Consider the following 23,670-nt stretch of genomic DNA (forward strand, 5'->3'; position numbering starts at 1 on the left):
AACTCTTAATCAAGTGGGCCAGGCAACAACACAGGATCTTTTTAATTCTAGCGAGTTAAAAGGAAAATTGATACAGATTGCATAATTTGATAATTGCACACAATTTCTGCAAGACCTTGTAAATGAGTATTTGGCTGTTACAGGTCTCAGTTTTCCTTTCATCAAAACTCTTAAGAATTTGCTTTCCTGAAAAGAGAGCAGACTACTTCCTAAAGTAGGATCTATTTGATTGAAACACGGTAATTTTCAGAACAAATAAACTTTTGATTCAAGTTCCCCAAAGATCATTTTGGTGGATATATTTTATAATACTACAATTGTCTTTTCAAGTTTATTCAGCTCCTATGTATAGTTTCCTTATCACAGACTGTCTCTCCAATTACACATTCCATCATAACAAAAGTCCACTTGATGATGTGGCTGATGCCCATTTAGAGCCTTGAGTCACTACTCTTTACCTCTAGTATAGGCTGTTTTAAGGAAAACATCTTTTCCTTTCAGAATTTGTGTAGGGAAAAGAAAAAGCACTGTAGATTTGGTTTTAAATAGAACTGGAACATTCTCTGAGAAAGTATAATGTTGTCTTACACAAGATTTTGTACTATGAAGATAGAAAAATGAGGAAGAAAAAGAAATTTTTTTTTTAAGTACTTACTTACCAGGTGTGAAATTGTATCGAGCTGAAAATCCCATAGATTCCAGCTCTCCATCAGCAAAAAATTTAATCCATAGAAATCTTCCACTGGATTTTATGACAGGTGGATTTTGTTGTCCACAGAAACGTCCAATTATTGGAGAAAAGCCAAAAGGTCCATCTCGAACTTCAATATGATCAAATTTGCACTCCCAAGACGGTTCAATAGAGTACTTTTCATCAAAGTAAAGTTCAATGCACTGTCTTGGAGCGGCTGTAAAGAAGAAAGATTGTGTCTAGGAGGTCATTTCTTACATCTTCAGGTTGATGTTTTCTGATTCTATTTCAGATGTTATTTGTACATCTTCTCTCAAACTTTATGGATGATATGCATAGAAATATAAAGAAAGCATATGATACTATTCTACGGGACACAATTTTCATAAAAATGTCTAAGGAGTGAAACTTAAAACCGATGATGTTGCATAAAATATTATTCTGATACAAGATGACCATTTTGACGTTTTGCGCAGGACTAACAAAGCACAGTATTTTTATGAAAGGCTGTTAACTTGGAGTTAGAAGGTCAAGGAATATTTTTCTGTCTCTTTTCTCATATTTCCAGGAATACTCAGGTTTAAGGTAACAAATCACTTGAGAATTGTTTGGCATAGAGTTATATTAAATATAATCTTTCAAATAATCCAAGCCATGTGTCTAGATCAGATCCAAATGCATATATAAGGACATTAAGAGTAATTTTTCTACAACACAAACCTGATCACATCCCTCTCAGGTTTCAACCTCAGCAGCTGGACCATGATCAATGCATTCAACACACATTATCCGTTAAGAATATCCTGCGTCCAGGACCCTATCCCCTCACAGAGAGCCTGAGCTCAGACCACTTCAGACATGTCTTGTCTTCTAAGAAAGTAAGCTCCTTCACACTTTCATGGATTTTCTTACATTTTTGAATATCTACATACCCAACATTATCTCCTCTTTACACAGGAAAGACTTGCTTTAAAGAAGCCTCCTCTCTAAATCTGATCTTGAAAGACAAGAACCATATCTCACTCACCTTCTTTCTCAGAGCTTAGCATAGTATTTGTCATCGAAAATTTCCAAAAAAAAAAAGTCTTTCAGTAAATTATAAATGAGTGTATATTCATAAATGTTTTTACAGCTCTCTAAAGAATCAGGGAAAGCTTTATAGGGCTGGCAACTCTATACAGCACCACATGAATGCTTTTGCTAATGGTCTTTCATTCTTCCCCTGGTACGTCCAAAACAGTCCAAAATTCTGGCATCTCAGACTTACATTCAGCCAGGATACTCCAGAATGGCCATAAAATTTGCTGAAATGTCAACATATATGTATCCCGGTTAGTAAACAGCTGTTGCCTGAAGCCCTCTGAGTGCTTCCCTGCTACTTGGCCCTTTTCAGGGACTAAGCCCCTGTAGACACTTGAAAGTTAAGACTTAGCACAGTCGGGCCTGCTCCCTCTACGGTCAGCAACTATGCAGAATGGTGGCTGTCCACACCCCATTGCTTCTTAAATATACACGGAACATCATCCATGATGACCTAAAATGTAAACTCTGGTATGCGTGGTTTTCAAAAATGTATGTAAGATTGAGACACACAGTATAACTTGGAAATTGGAGACCTACAGAATAAAATGTAACTCTGATGCTCCCCAGGTATAAAATTAAATATCAACAGTTTAAAGGCAATTCATTTTTAAAATGAATTATTTTATGAATAATCTTTAATTTCTAAAAAAGTTTCAGACTCATACATTGAAAAGAGACATTTATAACTCATGCAAGAAAAATATTTTATCTATCACTAAATTGTATGAAAAAGGTGAACAAATGAGTAACCACAATAATGACAGATTTGAGGGAGTTTCAATGACGTGGTTTTTTTTTTTCTTTTCTTTTTTTTGGAAATTTGAAAGTACCCAAAGAAATGACTAACCATGTTTTATGCTTAAAGTGCCAGCCTTAAAACAAAAAGGCAAATCTGAAGGAGTTAGACCCATTTATGTATCAGTACTAAGTATAGCGCTTGCATACATTATCATCCTATAGTATGTATGTACCAGTTTATTTCACAATAAATCAGTATAACAAGTTTTATGATGAAACAAATTATTTCGGATTGTAGGTTAATTTAAATAACGTAAGGCTAGGGAAAGATAGAGCAATGAAGACAGTCCTTAGCTAATTTACTTAGAACTCTATCTGTCATCTTTTAACACGCACTCACCAATTTCCCCTACTAAGAAATAATGGCCATCTAACATGAATTCACTTCTCCATACCTTCGCTCTTATTATTTCATAAGTTCTGTGGCTGAGTCAACCTCTCGATGTTCCCCAGGAAACATTCCGCCATTATGGCTTTTGGTAGGCAACATTGTATGTGGATGATTTATTTTCTTTTGGTCCAGCATGTTGAAGTTAATGACACACAACCAGAAATGAAACCTACATAGCTGAATTTTAGAAGGTAGTGAAATAACTTTTTAAAACTAAGTTTGCCACATACTTATTGTGCTAGATTAAAAATGAGTGATTATGGCACATAGAAACTATTTGAAGCTCTCTAACTCTCTCAACTTCAATTTGCTTCACCTTCAAGAATTTTCTTCACAGCTGCCCTTCCTTTTAACATTTCTGTAAGTTATATTTGATCTAACACTGAGGTTAGTTCATGAGAGGTCTCAACCACTTTGAGAATCTTCAGACGCACTGAGAACTATGAGCACTTTCACCTGGATAGTGCACATATATACAGAATATTTCCTCCATTTTGAGGGAATGTTTAGGCCACCTGACAGTCAAAAAGGGATCCTCTTTTTCGTGACTGGGACCTCGCTTGTATTCTTCATCACAATGGGTCATACCTCTAGAAATCTGACCACTTATGTATCCCTCTTTCTCTTCTATTTTAAATGTACCTTTCTCTACAGAATATTCATTTTAGAATTAAATATGTGCAATCTGCCCCTTTAAAAGAGAAAAAACCACCCATCTCCACTATGCCAATGGGAGTGCTCATCGTTGTTACTAACAAACTCTTAATTGCTTCATGTAACAGATGCATTTCTGTTTTTCACTTATTTTTCTTTGCTGTAACAACTGGCACTTTGACTACTCCCTGCTTCTCAAGACCCCATCCACTCTGGCTGCTGTGGCATCGTGCGCACCTGACCCTCCTGCCTAACTCTCTGGCTTCTCCTACTCATTCCATTACTTTTTTCCCCATACTCTGTCCCTCTCTTATGTGTTATTTTCTGGAAAATTTATTCTACATCTTATGTTCTCTCATTTTAGATGAAGACACCGGGGTGCCACGGGCATTCCAATGGAAGGTTACTACAATATAATGGTGGCTGGGGCTCTATCTAAGGTTAATTAAATCAGAATTCCTGGGGAAAGGCCCAGGCACCTGCATTTTTAAGAGCAGTTGAAAAATAGTGCTCCAAATATTCTCTTGGATAATTTTATTCATACTAACAATCTCAACAACAATCTCTATATTTATGACGTACATATATACATTTTCAGCACACATCTATCTCTCCACTGAGCTAGAGCTACATGTATCCAATCTTTTTGTGGAGCATCTCCATAAACACAAACTAAACACATTATTTTTCCTTTAAACCAATTTTTCCCGTCTATATTTCTTTTCTGGGATGGCAATTCCGTCTATCTAACAAGTTATCGAGCAACAAATATTAGAACAGTCCCAGGATACCCTATTCTCTGATCCCCTGATCCAGCCACTCATGATCCTTTTTTTTTCTTTTTTTTTTTTTTTTGAGACAGAGTCTCGCTCTGTCACCCGGGCTGGAGCGCAGTGGTGCGATCTCGGCTCACTGCAAGCTCCGCCTCCCGGGTTCACGCCATTCTCCTGCCTCAGCCTCCTGAGTAGCTGGGACTACAGGTGCACGCCACCACGCCTGGCTCATTTTTCGTATTTTTAGTAGAAACGGGGTTTCAACATATTGGCCAGGATGGTCTCGATCTCCTGACCTCGTGATCCGCCCACATCGGCCTCCTAAAGTGCTGGGATTACAGGTGTGAGCCACCACGTCTGGCGATCCAGTTTCTTAAATACCTCTCAGTTCTTTCATGTACTCCATCACTGATGCCGCTTCTTTAGTATAAGTATTTATTATGATTTACTTGGACTTTTGGAATTGTTTCTTAGTTTATGTTCTTTTCCTTCAGTTGCTTCATCATCAAAATCTCACATTATTCCTCAAGTTAAATTACTTCAATGGCACCTCATTGTCTCCAACATAATGTTCAAGATTTTATCCAGTGGGCACAGAAGGAATACCAGGTACCTCTTTGAGACTGCTTCCCTCTTCAGCCTCCTGCTGTATTTTCCTCAGATTCTGCAGAAGCCCTAGGATGCGCCACGAAGGTCCCCAACCATATCATAGCTCTGAACTTCCGCATACGCTGCTCTATGTAGAGAATAATGCCTTCCCTGGACATTCTTCAGAAATGAAGGTGAGCATCTCTTCTTCCCTGTATTCTTCTCTTTGGCTTCCCCGTCGCAACTACTTTGTGCTAATCCTAGGGCCCCTTTAGATTGTTTACAAAAAGGGACATAGTCCCCAGAGAATATTGTTAAGTCCTATGAGGCAGGTAGCGAGTACCTTTTCTATCAGTTGTAAAAGGAATTTGCACTGCCAGACCTTAGGTTTTCAGTGTTATCCTTTTAATAGCATAGCTAATTGTTTTGCCTTCTTACAGTGTGGTTTATCTTTGCTGAAAATTCAACTTCAAGTAGTAAGGGTGGGGGAAGATCTTTGGCCCAATAATTACCAAAAAAAAAATCATTTCTAAATAGAGAGTCTTAAAATTGGGTGAACAGAAAGCCTGCTTCTTTGAAAAATCTATCAAATAAATGTGTCCCCATTTATAAGTAGTAGAAAGTGCATCTATCTTTATCATTAAGACAGTCTTGCCTGTGTGTGTGTGTGGGGGGAAGGTGGGTGCTTCCAGGTTTTAGGCTATTTAGGTACTAACAGTTGGAATACTGAAAACTTCCATCACCAGATGAAATGCTTCTACATTTTAAACGTTGTACTTAAGAGAGAGGTGTTGGCCGGGAGCCATGGTTCACGCCTGTAATCCCAGCACTCTGGGAGGCCAAAGTCGGTGGATCACTTGAGGTCATGAGTTTGAGACCAGCTGGCCAACATCGTGAAGTGCCGTCTCTACCAAAAATACAAAAATTAGCCAGGCATGGTGGCGTATGCCTGTGATCCCAGCTACTCGGGAGGCTGAGGCAGGAGAATCGCTGGAACTCAGGGGACTCTCGCTTTGTCTCAAAAAAAAAAAGTGTTTACAAGGTTAGTGTAAATGGGAAACGTTCAAAGAGAAGTCTCTTTCCAACACCATTTATCTTTCATGTTGGAAAAAAGTCATGAAATAAAGGGTCATAATTTACAATCCTGACCTTGACTTCAAAATGAGATGTCACTTGTTAACACAAATAAGGTAACTATCTTTCAGATTGGTGTTTAGAAAATGTGATTATAGATTCATCTTTGACATTAATACGATTTTTGTAATTTATAATACTAAAGAAATGTAACATGCAAGTTATTCTACTAATTGTTGAGCTAAAAAAATGCTAGTTTCTCACACTTACACAGTTAATATTGTGCCAACTATGCGTCCATTCTACTGCATGAGAACTCTAAATCAATTAAGCCAACAGCAAAATAAACTCCTAAGTTGTTCATCTGTTTTTATTGCACAGAATTTGCTTGTTCATAACCCACTACTAGTTAATCTCAATAATTAGCCTGATTCCAGATTTTACAGTTATTGATTCACTCAAGAGATATTTTTGCGCATGATCTCCAGATCAATTTTGTAATGCCTATACGCATATTCTTCATCCAAAGCACAGAGATGGCAAGGTTTTGGCTTAGTGCTTTCTTAACTCTGGCACTGTCTCCCCTTACCTTCTATGATGTAGATGCATTCCCGGTCAGGGGGATACTTGCTGGGATAGTTGGGAGAGGTAAAGATACCTCCCTCTGCATGTTTTGTCCAAGTTCCACACTGCACTGACTTCTGTGTTTCTGAGGTGGTTTGCTTTTCTGTTAAAAAAAAAAAAAAGTTTTAAAAAGAGCCATCATCCAATTTTCTATTGTACTAAAAATAGAGGACATTCTTATAATATCCATTAGTAAATTAATTTTTAAATGTTGTCTTAGCCAAACCAATCAATTATACATATTATAACAGGTTCAGATATTCTGGAATATTAACAGTAGGAGGAAAATAGGAAAATACAAAATAATTCGAGGTCTTCCACTAGCATTTTTCTAAGTAAACACACCTGTTCCTTTCTTGGTTGCCCCAGACAAATGGAGGATGATTAAACTTGCTACAACTGAAACAGAAAAGAAAAATTAGAGATAAAATACACTGAAATGATCAAATCCCATAAAAACATAACATAATTTCAAGATAAAATAATATCAAAGCAGATTAATTTTTTCATTGTTAACTGTTAGAAGTCGATTCAGAACTTGCAAAAACCAATTTGAAATGTACAAATCAGGAAACCTTGGGACTCCCTTAAGGAACTAATGCAAGTTAAGAATGGATGAGACCCAAACTCCTAAGGCAAATACATCATTCACTCTAAAGGCAACATGTCAATTTACTCATGTCACACACAGTACAGTGGGACTACAGGAGTCACACTGTATCTAAACTACCCTTAGGGAATGGCTCTGCCAGCATCTCTGAATGAAGAGAGGGGCCAGAAGGTAAAAAGGAGGAAAAGGAGAGGCAAACAATGAGAACAGCTCCATGACTGTTCCTGACATACTGCAGTGTGGCTGTATTTTAGAAAATAAATACTTAGACAAATCCTACAGACTGTGGAGGAGGAGAATAAGCAAGAAACAGATTAATGTGGATTGTGGGCATTAAGCACCATTATTGGAATGTTGCCTACAAAAATGTTCTGAACCTCCAAGTAACCCCGTCCCTCAGCACTTTCTAAGCTGTGAAATTAATCTCTTCTAACCTTAACTTGATTTAATACCAAATCAATATATAGAAATTGATTATTAATTTGAGAAACGTGATTTCCGAAAGCATTATATTGGGTCAGGTTTCCAGTGTCAAAGAGACTGTGATCTGTAACTTAACAGTAAATCTGCAATGCCATTATAATCTAAACTTGTTTTACTTCCGTATTCTTGATCTAATCAACATTTTTACAAGACAAAACACTAGCAAAATAGTAAGTAAGCTAGTCTTCATAATTTGATTTTTCTTCTATTTTTTCTTATTCATTTTGTCATCCAACGACATAAAAGGTCTATGTTTTCACATTTTCACTTAAAATGAATTCGGGGGAGAGAACAATTCACAAATATTTCCTGAATTAAAGCTCACCACAGGCTTATACATTTATACTTAAACATCACTCTAAGAAACGTATCTAGGTCTTGATATTAATATTTAAAATATTGTCAATTGTGTGTTACTTTATGCTCTAGCCAGTTCATTTGCATTTTAAATTAAGGCACTGGCTGCTGTTGTTACTGTGTGTTTCCACAGGAAAAAAAAAATCAATTTAATTTGTCATGATTCTGCTCACACCCAGAACACACAGGTATGCACATCCTTCAGCATCAGGATGTGTATTTGTTTACTCCGCTCTTCCTGTTTTGATGAAATCACATTATAGACCACGTACTGTGTTTAACTCAGCAGCAAACCCCTCTCAACTGCGTGGCCCGCGATCAACACTCTCATCTTTGCTTAGTAATGATACATTTCCACCACACATTTTCTTATACTGCCTTTTACTCGATGACTCGTGATACTATTTTCCTCTCATTCCTTCCCACCTCTACACTGCCCGCGTTACCACACACCCATAAAGCGACATCAGCGGTCTCCAGGGCGGAAAGGGGTGGAAGCTGACCCTCGCCCTTCCCTCCAGCGCTGGCTTCAGGTGTGCCTTCTGCTACCTCCTGTACTGCGAACAGGGGCCCGCCGAGCTCCGGGAGCCCCTAGAAGAGGAAGACTCCTCTGGCCCCACTAGGTATCATCCGCGCTCTCCCGCTTTCCACCTGCGCCCTCGCTTGGGCCAATCTCTGCCGCACGTGTCCATCCCTGAACTGCACGCTATCCTCCACCCCCGGGGGGTTCCTGCGCACTGAAAGACCGTTCTCCGGCAGGTTTTGGGATCCGGCGACGGCTGACCGCGCGCCGCCCCCACGCCCGGTTCCACGATGCTGCAATACAGAAAGTTTACGTCGGCCCCGACCCGCGCGGGACTGCAGGGTCCGCCGGAGCGCGGCGCAGAGGCTTTTCCTGCGCGTTCGGCCCCGGGAAAGGGGCGGGAGGGCTGGCTCCGGGAGCGCACGGGCGCGGCGGGGAGGGTACTCACTGTGAAGCACGCTGCGCCCATGGATCATGTCTGTGCGTTACACCAGAGGCTCCGGGCTCCACTAATTCCATTTAGAGACGGGAAGACTTCCAGTGGCGGGGGGAGGACAGGGTCGAGAGGTGTTAAAGACGCAAAGCAAGAAGGAAATAAAGGGGGGCCGAGAGGGAGACCGAGAGGAAGGGGGAGCTCCGAGCCCACGCTGCAGCCAGATCCGGATGAGTCCGTCCTCCGCCCCGGGCGGGCTCTCGCTCTCGCTGGCCCTCAGCGCCGCGCAGCCAGCAGCATCCCCACCGTGACGCTCGCATCACACCCGGGCGCCGGCCGCCACCATCCGCGCCGCCGCCGTCAGGACCCTCCTCCCGGGCATCGTCGCCGCCGCGGGGTCGGGAGGACGCGGCGCGCGGGAGGCGGCGGTCGCAGGGCGAGCCCCGGGACGCCCCGAGCCGGGGCCGGGGCCGGGGAGAGGGCGCAGCGAGGTGGGGGCCAGTCCAGACCGACGGCAGCGACGGAGCGGGCGGCGGCGGCGGCGCCGGCGGCGGCGGGGTGGCTCAGTCCCCAGTCTCAGACGCGCCGCGCAGCAGGTCGGAGCAGCCTCCCCGGGAGGATGTCCAGCGGCAGCGCTCCTCGCTCCAGCCCTTGGGGATCTTCCGCTGAGGCATTGAAGGCAGGAAGAAGGGGTCCGTCATCGGCTCGCCGGGCTGCGCGCCACCTCTGCTATCTTGCGGAAAGAGGAGCGGGTGGGTGGGCGTCTGGGAGGCGGGCTGGAGGGCGGTGCAGGGGAGCGGGGCGGCCGGGGGGGGGGCCGGGGGGCGGGGAAGGGAGGGAGGAGAAAGGAGCCGGAAGAGGGCAGAGTTACCAAATGGGCTCCTTAGTCATGGCTTGGGGCTCCACGACCCTCCTGGAAGCCCGGAGCCTGGGTGGGATAGCGAGGCTGCGCGCGGCCGGCGCCCCGGGGCTGGTGCGCGGCAGAATGGGGCCGCGGCGGCGGCAGCAAGGACATCCCAGCCGCGCGGATCTGGGGGAGGGGCGGGGAGGGGGTGAGGACCCGGCTGGGATCCGCGGCTCGGCCCGCCAGGGCGCAGAGAGAGGATGCAGCCGCAAATCCCGAGCCGGATCCTCGTGCCGGACGGAAGGCGTGGAAGCGGGAGGGGCCTTCGTGTGAAAATCCCTTGTGGGGTTTGGTGTTTCACTTTTTAAAGGTTAGACCTTGCGGGCTCTCTGCCTCCCACCCCTTCTTTTCCATCCGCGTAAAGGAACTGGGCGCCCCCTCTCCCTCCCTCCCTGGGGCGCAGGTTTCGCCGCGGACTCCGCGCTCAGCTTGGGAGACACGGCAGGGGCGCGCCCCAGGGAAAGGCGGCCGTAAAAGTTTCGCGGTTGAGCACTGGGCCTGATGTCCAGTCCCCCCACCAAATTACTCCTGCAAAGACGCGGGCTTCTTGCAATTGAGCCCCCCACCTCGAGGTATTTAAAACCACCCCAAGGCACACACGGACCCCCGTTCCCCCGCGCCACTTCCTCCTACAGGCTCGCGCGGCGCGTTAAAGTCTGGGAGACACGAGTTGCGGGGAAACAGCACCGGAAGAGCCCGGGCTTGTAAAATGCGAATCAATGAATACGAAATAAGGGCAACCGCGAGGCAGCGCCGGGAAGGGCTGGAGCGCGCGGGGGTGCAGGGAGTCCCTCCCTGGGCGCCGCAACGGCACCTCCTCCCTTTCCCGGCTCCGTCCCGCCCTCCCTCGGCCTCTGCGGACGCGACCCACGCAGACCACAGCCGAGCCCGCCGGACCCCGGGACTACGGAAGCCATCCCGTCCGGCCACCCACACCCGCGCCGCGGCTGGGGCTTGGGTTGGGGACTGTGGCGGCGAAGAAGCCGGGGTAGGAAGAGCTAATGGCAATGGCGGGGTCGCCGGGGGGCGGGGGGTCAGCAGCAGACGCTGAGCTGTGAAGACTAGGGTGGCCCCGAAAGGCCGAGGAAAGGAGAAAGGGCCATGAGAAGAGTCTGGCGAGCGCTCGAGGCCGGGGGGCTGCCTCCCGGCTCTGGCCCGGCCTCCGCTTCCCGGCACCTGCTGCTGGGGCGCCCACGTGCGCGCGGGGCTGCGCGGGGCGTTGGGTGCTCGTCGCAGTCCTGCCCACGCCTAGCGCAGCGGCTGTGAGTGGGTGGAGGTCTCCTGCCAGTAAGTTGGGATGAGGGACGATGAGGTGACCCCCAAGTCTGGAAGGGATTCAGAGTCTCACACGCGCCCCCAAGCCTCCTACCACCACACCAAAGTGCTGGTTCCTCGATTTCCAGGGTGGGGTAAAGTGACCGAGCAAAGGGGATGGTGTGTTTGTGTGTGCGCGCGCATATACGCGCGCGCGTGTTGTGCATCCGTGTAATGAAAGTTGGGTCATGGGTCAACCCGGGAGTAGAGCGAGATGGAGACCTAAAGAGAGAAAGCTGAGAGAAGGGGGAAGACATGGACAGGGTAAGAGAGAGAGAAAGGAGAGAGAGAAGAAAGGGAAAAGAGGAGCGGGGAGAGAAAAGAGAGGCAGGAGAGAGAATGAGGGGACAGAAGAGAGTAGGGAGACGAGAAGGCGGAGGACAGAAGAAATGGGGGAGAGGGAAGAGGACAGAGAGGCTGCGCGCCTCTGAATACGCCAAGTCCAGCAGAGCTGGAGGCCTGTGAGAGGAGCTGCAAGCTTGAGCAAAGGGAGAGAGGTGAGCGGATGAAGGGAGATTGGTGAGTATCCGCCCACGCACCTACTTGTAAAAAGATCAAGGGGAAACACGCAGAAGGTCCCGCGGGAGTCCTGTGACCCACGTGAGGTGCTCGTGCCAGCGCGGGGTGGGAGGTGGTGGGCAATGTTCGTCGTGGAGTTGAGGAAGAAATTCTCCAGCCTTAAGGAAGCAAAAGAGTTCAAAGATCAGTGAGGCTGCTCAACAGAGGGATATGCAGATGACAGAATGCTTGGAAAACGCTTTTGGGGATCCGGGTCATCTATAGAGGAGAGGGTGGAGGTCTTGCAAAAGGACCAGTCGCAAGAGTTGACAGTTGAATGTTGGAATCTTTCTTATGGTTGGATGGCACTTTCTTTACATCCAAAATATGCGTTATTCGTGAAGATGACACAGTTCTACAAAGAAAGTGGCAACATTTAAAATTATTTGTAGAAAGTTACTGCATTTCTCAATCACAGTTTGAAGGCAGAGAAAACTTGGTTTTACCATAAATGCTCTCATTCACCTGCCCTCTTCTGTCCTCTTTGCCCAGAACAGTTTCCCAGGACACTGGGATTTTGTAACCTGCCAAGGAAGGGGCTACGTTGCTAAACAAGTAGTCCTTTTATGGGACACAGGAAATTAGGAAGGAACTCATAAGGAAGGTGAAAGGGTCCTAACCTTTTGTCCACGCCTGTATTTGAAATCAAATATCTTGCATAAACAGTGGTCTCCATTTTTTTTCTTTTTTTAATGAATTAAAGGCTGGAGCGCAGTGACTGGATCACAGCTTGCTGCAGCCCCAACTTCCTGGGCTCAACTGAGCTTCCCACCTCAGCCTCTGGAGTAACTGGGACTACAGGCACAGGCCATCATGCCTGGCTAATTCTTTTATTTTTTATATTTTTTAGAGAGGGGGTCTAGCCATGTTACCCATGCTGTTCTCAGACTCCTGGCCAAAAGTGATCCTGTGGCCTCCCGCTGATCTTTAATGCCCAGTGCTTTCTCGGGCAATGCGTGGGGCTGAGGCATTAAATTTTGCTGAAACCTCAGTGCTGAGGGAGTGAGTGTGCACGTTCTGGACCTAGGACAGGACAGAGGCCTGGCTAGCTCAGGTGCTCTGATAATCAACCAAGAGACTGGGCCAACACAGATGCTGAGGCCCGCGCTGCACTCTCCTACTCTTTCCAGGCTGCAAGTGTAGCATTGTTATTGACAATTCCATTCATTTTTCTTCATACACACCCATACACGCTTTTCACCATCCACTACATCCTGTTTACTTGGCAAGCTGCCTTCTCATTTTTGAGTTCCAGAATCCACACTTGCTGAGTAATGCTACCTCCCTAATAGGGACCCATAAGATTTTTCTTTCTGAGAAAAAACAACATATGGGAAAAGTTCAGTTTCTCCCAGAAAAGGTTGCGCAAACATATGGTCAAATTACAAGATGATGTCGTTATTTTGAAAGGAAGAGCATATAAACTGATAGCTTTTGTGAGTTGAGTGTGCCATCCTGGAAGATGGTGCTTTGTCGCAGTTCCCCAAGGTTAGCATTGAAATAGTGACTACTATAGAAGATGGTGCAGAATTAAAGCCACTTGAACCCAATGAAGGTGTCATTAGTAAGTTGGTTTTATTTCTCAGCTTGCAGCTTCCTAACAATGAAAGATCATATGGACTTCCAAAATCCTAAAAAGAATTGGCGTAGGGTACAAGCCCTTCTAATTCAAATGCACATAGTATTTGTCTACATACATGTACTTCTCTATAGGAAAAAATAAAGCTACAGTTCTACCAGGGCTCCTTTGTTAATTAATCTCCAGTACTGGCATCATCTTAAAAGTTGTCTATCAGTAAAAGAGGTGATGCTACAAAAAATAACTCAAATGTAATAGTGCTAATGACACATCCATATTACAATAATATTTTCTGATTTTTACATAATTTATTTACATGGTTGTGAAGTGTAAAGGTTTTTGCATTTAACAATATATGTCATAATACTAGTTTCTCAAAAACAAGTAATTTGCTGGTAAATATAGGAATGTTTTTTGAAAATTCTCTGAAATAGTCTAACATGAAGCTGGTTTTAAGCAATATTGAAGAAGCTCTCTTCAAAAAATCTATAGGAGTATCCTAACGCAGTAGAAAGTCTCCACGAAATAGAAGACCTGTCAAAATCTCTGAAATCTTACATTTAAACCAAACAGGATATTTTATGATCACCACTAGGGAAAAATAAAATATAGTTTTGTTAGAAGTACAAATATATTGTATTCTTAGGCAGCACAAGAATGTTTGCCTCTTGTGGGAAAGAACTTTCATAGCACTTCCTTTGCCAGTTAGCACTTTCAGATACATGATCCTTCAATCCATATCAAAACTTCAGAAAAAAAATTTTCATTTTGATTGATATTTACTTCGCAGTGGCTTATAAAAATAATACCAATTATTTTTATGATCACTCGACTAATTATAAGCTCATCCTCTATAAATCAACATAAACTTCAGGAACATTTACGAAGATACACCCCAAGATTAAAAGTGTAAAGGCTCTGTACAGAAGCCACCTTTATAGTATAAGTATTGTACCACAAAGTCCACGCACTGCTATTTCAGGGAAAAAACAAGTTTCCACTCCTAGAAGACGGCATATTTGGAAAATATAAGCTAAACTAAAGGGTAAATCTACATATTCCATGTCAAAATAACCATTAATAAATACAAACAAAATGTTACTTCAGTGTGCTAAATCAGACATGTGAAAGTTTCTCATGGGTTAGACATACTTTGTGTGTGCGTGTGTGTGTGTGCGTGTGTGTGTGTGTTGAAGTCTCGCCCTGTTGCTCAGGCTGGAATGAGGTGGCACGATCTCGGCTCACTACAACCTCTGCTCCCTGGGTTCAAGCCTGCCACAACCTCCAGAGTAGCTGGGATTACAGGTGTGCGCCACCACGCCCGCACAATTTTTTTTTATATTTTTAGTAGAAACAGGGTTTTGCCATGTTGGCCATGCTGGTCTCAAACTCCTACCATCAGGTGATCAGCCCGCCTCAGCCTCCCAAAGTGCTGGGATTACAGGTGTGAGCCACAGCGCCCAGCCTTTTTTCATAATTATATAAGTTAATAGCATCACATAAACTTAATAACTTTGGCTATTTAGCACATACTTTAATCTTATTATGATATATTATTATGTGGATTTGGAAACTAACAAAAGCCATGATTTGCTTGGTGAAAGTAACCCTGGATGTTAAGGTAGGACTTAACATCCAGGACTTACCTGACTTAAATACATTTTGAGGAGAGTACCAAGCTTTTGTGCATGAAGGGAAATGTTAAATGAAAATCTTCCTTTTTTAAACACTAATTACCTGATTTACCTATTCTTTCTTTGAGTGTCCATTCTCTGTTATAATTAATATGTGTAAGGAAATGTCCTACCATGTTTCCATTTACATTTGCAAGACAAGATATGAAACATAAACTAACTTTGTTTTCAGTTTTAGGTTAGATAAATTTACAAATAATATATTTTCAGAAAGTAGCAATGTATATAGCAGCAGAATTTTTGCCAAATAGTTATAGTTACAATAATTTTCAAAAATTAAGGCAAAATATATTTTACTTTTTAGTAAATTATTATTTAAATATTCTCTATTATAGTTTTATAATTGATAGATGCAGTTAATTTTTGGTATATATATTTTTTCTTTTCTTTTCTTTTCTTTTTTTTTTTTTTTTTGAGACTGAGTCTTGCTCTGTCACCCAGACTGGAGTGCAGTGGCGCGATCTTGGCTCACTGCAACCTCCACCTCCCGGGTTCCAGTGATTCTCCTGCCTCAGCCTCCCAAGTAGCTGGCACGTACCACAATACCTGGCCACTTTTTGTATTTTTATTAGAGACGGGGTTTCACCATATTGGCCAGGCTGGTCTTGAACTCCTGTTCTCAGGTGATCCACCTGCTTCGGCCTCCCAAAGTGCTGGGATTACAGGCGTGAGCCACAAGCAATCGATAATTCACCACAATTTCCAACACGCTCACTAACTCCCTGACACTATGTAGGAAATATCCAGCCAGGCGCAGTGGCTCATGTCTGTAATCCCAGCACTTTGGGAGGCCAAGGTGGGTGGATCACTTGAGGTCAGGAGTTCGAGACCAGCCTGGCTAACATGGTAAAACCCTGTCTCTGCTAAAAATACAAAAATTAGCTGGGTGTGCTGGTGCATGCCTGTAGTCCCAGCTACTTGGAAGGCTGTGGCAGGCGAATTGCTTAAACCTGGGAGGTAGAGGTTGTAGTGAGCCGAGATCACACCACTGCACTCCAGTGTAGGCAACAGAGCAAGACTCCGCCTCAGAAAAAAAAAGGGGTGGTAGGGGGGGAATATCCACACTACTTTCCATTTCATTTGCACTAATATGAAGTTTTGCATCTCTATCAAAACTCTTAAGACACCAGTTTTTACTAATTAGCACACAGGATATAGTTGTGATTTGTTAGGTCTTACTTGCCCTGCCTATGTATGTATTTCCGTTGGCAATCCTTGATCTTATCGTATCTTATCATTTTTTAAATGAAGAAAATGAGGCCAAAAGAAGTGCAGTGATTTCTATAATGCCACTTTTTTTGGTAACTCCATAACTGATAGAATCCAAGACCTTCTACCATACTGGGGAGGGGGGCGAGGTGGGCCGGGGGGGGAAGCTACATAGATGATTTCACCGGAGTTCAAGGGAAAGCCCTCATTCTTTCTGCATGTTGCCAGTCACTCACTTCTAGCCAGAGTGTGAGTGCCTCGAGGCCACTGCCAAATGTAATAAGCTTTATGACAGTTGATCCCAAAAAGAAAAGAAAAAAATATATTAAAAAAGGGCAATTATCGGGGAAAAATAAAGCAAATTCATTGTAGGGAACTGCACAGGGATCAGAAATCCCATGGCATGAAGATGGTAAAAATGAGAGAGAGCAGAGATTATCAAGTTATTGAAAGTCTTACTGGAATCACACACATTTATAGACACACATGCAGTATAAGGAGAGAATAGATGAGTAGAAAGGGAATATAATATCCTAGCTGAATAATAATAACTTGACCTCCTAGAAAAGCGACAGTTCCTTAATACGATGTTAAATCCTTAATGTTAAAACATGATGTGTAGAAGTTGAGAGCATTGAAGTCAAGAACATTTTGTTTGAATACCAGGTCTATCAGTTACTAGGTATATAATAATTACTTAAACTTTCTTAGCCTATGCGCTCTCCTCTGTAAGACAGTCCTAATAACACATAGGACTATTTAAGAGTTTAAATGGGAAGACATCAAAAGCACTGAGCACAGTGGTAGCATATATAAATAAATATTTATGTTTTGTTAACACGGTCAGTACTGCCCATGATTGTGAACAGCAGCATATGGAAGCTGTTCCATGCAAGCCTAGAGATGGCTAATATCCATATCTATAAGTGTACCCAGAACTATGCAGGTACCTATACCTACTTCAATATCTATGTCTACACCTATATTTGTATTTATGTCTCTATCTGCATCATCAAGCATATGTCTTTTATAGTTTAATATAACAATGCTGATAGAGACCTAAGTCAAGAAAGGTTCATATGCCTCAAAGCCAAGCTCAATAACCAATACGAAAAATGTGAAAATCTCTGTAGGAAACAGAAGAATCGTGTCCTTGGTGGAGGAAACTGGAGAAGGCTAAGGGCTATAAGTGGGGACGTTCTGAGAGATAGTTCTGTAATAATGCCATCTCAGAGTGATAAGGGTAAAGTAATAACGAAAAAGGAAAAGGAATATTTCAACTTAATGATATTTCATAATATAATTATACAATATCATAAGACTTCAAAACAAAAACAGGCATAGAGGACTAAATAGAATATTTTGTACAAAAAATACATGACTAGAATCACGATAATAACATTTAATAAAATTGAAGACAGAGAAAAATTCTTAAAGATTATGGAAAGAAAAGAAGACGGTAATAACAACAAACAGATTATTTCAGAAAAGAGCAAGAATTAGACTGACAACCATCTTTGGAAAAATGACATTGGGCACAAAAGAATCAATGGAACTGTACTGTCAGGATGTTAAAGAAAAACTTTTTGAACCTAATATTTATTTATATGCCTGTAAACTATTGCTTAAATTTTAAAAGAAAGATATTTTAATATACTCAATTTTAAAAAAATACTTAGATGATATATTATAGCAAGAAGAATGATGACTTCAGGAGGATATTGCAATCTGGAAGTAAAGATGAATAAAGTCTTATGAAAATTCATTGTCTAAATAATTGATATATATTGTGAGGGGTAAGATGGGAAGAAAAGGGAGAGATGTGTTGTAAATTTCTTGTCTTGCTTGGATAAAAAAGGTAGATATTCAATATCACTAGATATTGGAAAAGAGTGTTAGCGTAGCTGTATGTTAGTAAGTTAGGTGACTGATCTGAGAATAAAACAGAATATTACATGTTCGTGTTGGCTAAGGAAAACTTAACCTGCCCAATGGAATATGCCAGTAAAAATAATAATAATAATAAATGAAGCATGAAAGCAAAATAAACTTTTAAAAAATAAAAGTATGCTGGCAGAAAACATGAAAAAATGATACAAATAATCATAAACCTATATGGGTTAAATGTTTCAGTGAGAAGAGAAAATATTTCTGATTAGCTATCAACTAAAATAAAATTCATGAACATTTGTGTAAAGTATGTATTTAACACAACATATAGACATATTGAGAATATATGACTTGGAAAAGACATCCACGTCAAATAAGTATACTGGGGTGACAATTATATACTAGGCAAATAGCATCAAAGCAAGACAATTATAAGAAAAAAATGTCCTTATACACTGTCAGGAAAAACGTCAAGTTGATATAATTGTCCCAAATACATATGCAGCTAAAGTTTAGCCTCGAATTGTTTTTTAGAGTGAAAAATAACAGACATTGTGTTAAATAATAATTGTAGTTGGAAATTTTTAACACAGTCCTCTCAGAAACTGACTAAAACAGGTTTTAAAATTAGCAAATATTAAGAACATACGAGTAAAAGTCAGTTTATTTTAGATAAGTAGGGATTTAAATTCAACAAAAATAAACACATTTTAAACTCCTATAATACATTTATTTAAAATAAATATATTTTTGCCAAAAGAAGTGTAAGTTCAAAGAGTTAACATACAGATTATATCCTATGAGATATAATAATATTAGAAACTGATATCCAAAGTAAAGCTTAATGTCACAGGTCTGAAAATTCAACAGTGCTTACAACAATAATACAGTTATTTAATACAGGGTTCTTAGATCAAATATGAAATTGTGAAAGTTTGCTATGTATAGTTTAATGACAAGTATATAATAACAAATATCTAAATCTTTCATCAACAGATGTCTGAATCTGTGGCCTGTTATAAAGTAAGGTTTAGACGAAAACTTTCAGTTTTTAATACAACAGCACTAAATACTTGGTATAGAACACATAGTAAACTCAAGAAAAAGGAAAAATACATAAAGAAATTACTAGAACTCAAGCAGACCAATAGAAGAAGAATATTTATTAAAAGTAAATTCTAGTTAATTGAAAAAAAAAATTAGCCAGATAAACTTGTAGCAAGATGATGAGGAGCAATAAAAAAATAGAAGTCCTACCAACAACATAAAGAATGAAATGCTGAGAAAATAGAGATAAAAACAGCGTAGAGAATATGAGCAACTGCATGTAAACAAATGTGAAAACCAGGATGAAATGGATAAAGTTATTTTTTAAAAAAAACTGTAAAGTGCAAACATTCCTGAAGAAAAAAAATAATTTATTGATATACCCATAACCGTAAATAAATGGAATTGCTGATTCTGCTCACTACCTCTCACTCCACCAAAATAAATACCTAAACGAGTGACTGCAGGCTGATTGAATGGACGAATACACAAATGAATGAGTCCCTGGACAAAAATATATTACATCTAAAGTTTATGACATGTTGTACTTCTAAGGATGTGATAATCCCCTTTGCCTACAAGGTGTTCCAGAAAATTTTGTAAAAAGAGGAAAAACTGTAACACTAATTTCAAGAAGGTGGTGTAGCCTTGGCATCAAAATGAGATGCACCGAACTCTGGTGTTGTGTCCAGCATTATCCTCCTGGGCATATGTCAAGGTCCATTGACCTGATCTCCAATGGCCTGCAACTGCAGACATTTTCTAAGGGCTTCTTCTAGCTGCTGGAGCCCACTTTACTCAGCCTCACAGCAGGGAGAAGTGCCAACAACCTTCAAACAATGACTGCTGGGGTTTTGTCTCCCTCACCCATCACATAGTGCAGGCCTCCAGAGTTCCCAGCAGGGTGACCGACTAGTTTTGCATAGTACTGATGTGCTTGATAACAAACAGTTACATGGCTGTCTTCCTGTCCTGGTCTCAGTTCCCAATAGTCTCTGCTAGTATATTCTGGAAGAACCTCCGAAAAAACTATACTTAATTCTTATCCCAGGGTTTTTGTCATTGTTTTTCTTGGGAAAGGCAATTGGTACCCAAAGTGTTCCCAGGAGGGAGATTGCCTGGCTGGATTCTGGATGTGGACCACTCCCTGCCTGTATAGAGCAGGCATTCCATTGATGGGATTATTGGAACAGCAGTGCCCCGGCATGTTATCCCATCACAATTGCTAAGGCTTTTGCCTGTGGAAAACTGGGATAGAAAATAGAACAGTGTGCCCTGGTTTATGTCTTATCTCTAGTGTTTCTATATTAAAGTCAGACTCTGATAGGGAAGAAGTAGGACGTTAAGACCTGGGGTGGAGACTCCAGGGTGGCTGTGCTTGAGAATGTTGAACGCTCAGATTCCCCTAAGTCCTTTGCATCAGCACAAGTGTCTCATCTACACCTGCTAGAGAATAGCAGCCTCCCCTCATCTCAAACCCAGTAATTCCCCATCCTAAGGCAAAAGCCATACAGGATAATCTATACTTGCTGTCCTCAAGATCTGACCTCACCTCCCTTGATTGATTCTAAACCAATTATGAGGTTCAAGTCTCAGCATGTCCTCACTGGGGAAATTCTGTTTCTGTCTGGGGAAAAAATAAAGATTATTAGCAGAACCTGAGAATGGATCTTGTGGGTGCTATATGCATTCAAAACCAGCATCTCTAGCAGATTCACTGAGAGCCATTATTTTCTTGAAGTTTCAAGGAAACCTCCCAGTAGTTTAATAGTAGTTTATTATTAGTGCTTACGTACTTCAGGTGTCCTTGCTTAATTCAATCCTGAGTCACAAGCAAGTTCCCCAACATCAAAAATATCTTACTGATGCCTATATTTTGTCCCCACCACCCCTGTATCCCAGCCTGGTAACTGCCTTTATATCTAGGTTTTGCTATTAATAGTAATTCTGTTACTATCAAGTTGAGTTCAGAAATAGGAAAATAGAACTAGTCATACTTTCTCACGCCGAACACATAGTTTATTATATTCACACACAGTTTTCTCCTTTTGCCCCACAAAACAATGTTACGTTCAAAGTTCAATGAGGCATTCCTCATAAAATTTAGATAGCTGGCATGACAATTCCTCATGAAACCTTATATACAATCTGAAAAATTGTCTCAACTTTAAAAATGGGAAAATATTTGTAACATTACATCTATAGAAGTTTATAGCACATGTTAGAGAAGATTCTCAAGAATTCCGGGTGATGGTCAAATTAATGCCCAATACATTATTTGTGGGAATCTGTGGTCATAACACTCACCTTAGTGAGTAGGTATTTATCTTTTGTTGTTATTTTGGTTTCTCCTGAATTATTTTTCAAAGTGACAAAGTCATCCAGGGAAGAACAAAGCTCATATATAAAATATTTTTTTTAGTTTTATCTTTTCTTTTCAATAATATTCTGTATTGAATAAACAAAGTAAATTTGCAAGGAAGTGAGAGAATGTTGGTGATATGGTTTGGCTCTGTGTCCCCACTCAAATCTCAGCTCAAATTGTCAACCCCATGCACATGTCGAGGGAAGATCCTGGTGGGAGGTGATTGGCTCATGGAATCCATTTCCCCGATTATGTTCCCGATGCTGTTCTCATGATAGGGAGGGAGTTCTCACAAGATCTGATGGTTTAAGCGTGGCAGTTTCCCCTGAGCTCTCCTTCCTGCTGGTATGTAAGGCGTGCTTTGCTTCCTCTTCACCTTCCGCCATGATTGTACATTTCCTGAGGCCTCCCCAGCCATGCAGAACTGTGAGTCAATTAAACCTCTTTTCTTTATAAATTAACCAGTCTCTGGTATTCTTTATAGCAGTGTGAAAATGGACTTATACAGTTGGGTTAATTCATGTAGAGTCAGTGTGCTGTACAAAAATACACTTCTTTTTTTTTTTATTATACTTTAAGTTTTAGGGTACATGTGCACATTGTGCAGGTTAGTTACGTATGTATACATGTGCCATGCTGGTGTGCTGCACCCACTAACTCGTCATCTAGCATTAGGTATATCTCCCAATGCTATCCCTCCCCCTCCCCCCACCCCACAACAGTCCCCAGTGTGTGATATTCCCCTTCCTGTGTCCATGTGATCTCATTGTTCAATTCCCACCTATGAGTGAGAATATGCGGTGTTTGGTTTTTTGTTCTTGCGATAGTTTACTGAGAATGATGATTTCCAATTTCTTATACAGCCACAGAATATGTTTTGCACAACCAAGACCAACTTAAATAGGAATATTCATAGTACAGATTACTTTTTTAAAATATTGTTTTCTGATAATTTAGGTCTGTAAAATAGGGAAAAGAATTAAATGAAAATATAGGTGTAAAGATAGATGATAGATGTGGATAAAGAGCTAGTAAATAATCTTATGTTGGAATTTAATACCTTATTTGTCTAGCATTTACTAAGTACCGTCCTATCCATGTTTTTGAAATAAAGGTTTTATCTTTACTTAGGAAACTTATGTATTACTTAAAAAGAAGAAAAGAAACGTGTTCTTACTCTTTCACCTAGGCTGGAGTGCAGTGGTGTGATCATAGCTCACTGCCTCTGCCTTCCTAATAGCTGAGATTACAAGTGTGCACCACTATGCCCAGCTTACATTACTTTAAAGATAAAATGCATTGCTCTTGTTACCCTCTGCAATAAGTATTTTTTATTATGTATTCTTAATGTATACCTTTAACTCATATTCTTTTATTTTAGGCATACAACTTAGGATTCATAACTACATATATACGGATAGAAGTGCATGAACAGAAAATCTGCCCTTCTGGAATACCAAATGCAAAATTAAAGTGACTACAAGCAGAATTTGGAGAAAAAAATAAAAGATGCAATATAGTTTTTAAAATCATTGTTAAAATATAATGAGTCTGTACTTTGCTTAAACAATAAAAAAGTCTTCGATTTATACTGAATTCTGTTTTATTTTGGATAAGCTAATAATCTTGAAAATGTCTTCTGTGTCATTTTGGTTTTATTCTAGTGAAACTCCCATTTATGTAGTGCAAATTATATACAAAACTGTGTTCCCTAAGGGGATCCCTTTAATAGAAACACCCAAACTCATTCAACTCTTGTCCTTTGTAGTAGCTATTTAATAAGTCTATGCTATACATTCTAGGAATATCTGAAATTATGAAATTTGTCAATTCTTCTTACAATTATGATCCTCAATATAACTCAGCATAAGTCTGACTGTGCTTCTGAAGTCAGTTAGTTTATTTACTGTTATCCATGCTTAGGTGGAGAGAGAATTTCCAGGTGCTCAATTACTCTGTGAGATAAGAATTTGTTAGCAACTCTATCAGGTCATCTTTTTAAATAAGTTTTAAGAGTACATCAGAGAA

The 23,670-nt window shown here is 41.3% G+C and overlaps 1 protein-coding gene and 1 long non-coding RNA gene across 16 annotated transcripts in view; one reads left to right on the forward strand and one right to left on the reverse strand.

Moving 5' to 3' along the window:
* Positions 1 to 9,821, reverse strand: part of NETO1 (neuropilin and tolloid like 1) — a 125,674-nt gene extending 115,853 nt beyond the window's left edge. For 10 of the 14 annotated variants that reach the window (NR_148694.2, NM_001201465.3, NM_001354018.2 and 7 more), the window contains exons 1-4: positions 9,098 to 9,821; positions 7,022 to 7,075; positions 6,642 to 6,779; positions 660 to 908 (exon numbers count right to left, since the gene is read on the reverse strand). Coding sequence is in view for 11 of the 14 variants with exons in the window: in NM_001201465.3 (NP_001188394.2) it covers positions 660 to 908; positions 6,642 to 6,779; positions 7,022 to 7,075; positions 9,098 to 9,125 (469 nt within the window). In the remaining 3 variants the exon portion in view is untranslated. Of the gene's footprint in view, positions 1 to 659; positions 909 to 6,641; positions 6,780 to 7,021; positions 7,076 to 7,406; positions 7,521 to 8,579; positions 9,034 to 9,097 lie in introns of those variants that run through there. The other 4 variants (NR_148695.2, NM_001354020.2, NM_001354022.2 and 1 more) reach the window with 2 other exon arrangements.
* Positions 9,822 to 10,221: 400 nt separating this feature from the next.
* On the forward strand, positions 10,222 to 23,233 carry NETO1-DT (NETO1 divergent transcript). 2 transcript variants are annotated; one of them, NR_134647.1, is made up of 3 exons: positions 10,874 to 10,974; positions 21,921 to 22,068; positions 23,024 to 23,233. It is a non-coding gene; the product is annotated as an NETO1 divergent transcript (long non-coding RNA). The 2 variants fall into 2 exon arrangements; NR_134648.1 differs by lacking the exons at positions 10,874 to 10,974; positions 21,921 to 22,068 and adding an exon at positions 10,222 to 10,296.
* Positions 23,234 to 23,670: the final 437 nt, after the last annotated feature.

Source organism: Homo sapiens, chromosome 18 (assembly GCF_000001405.40).
Source record: "Homo sapiens chromosome 18, GRCh38.p14 Primary Assembly".
NCBI lineage: Eukaryota > Metazoa > Chordata > Mammalia > Primates > Hominidae > Homo > Homo sapiens.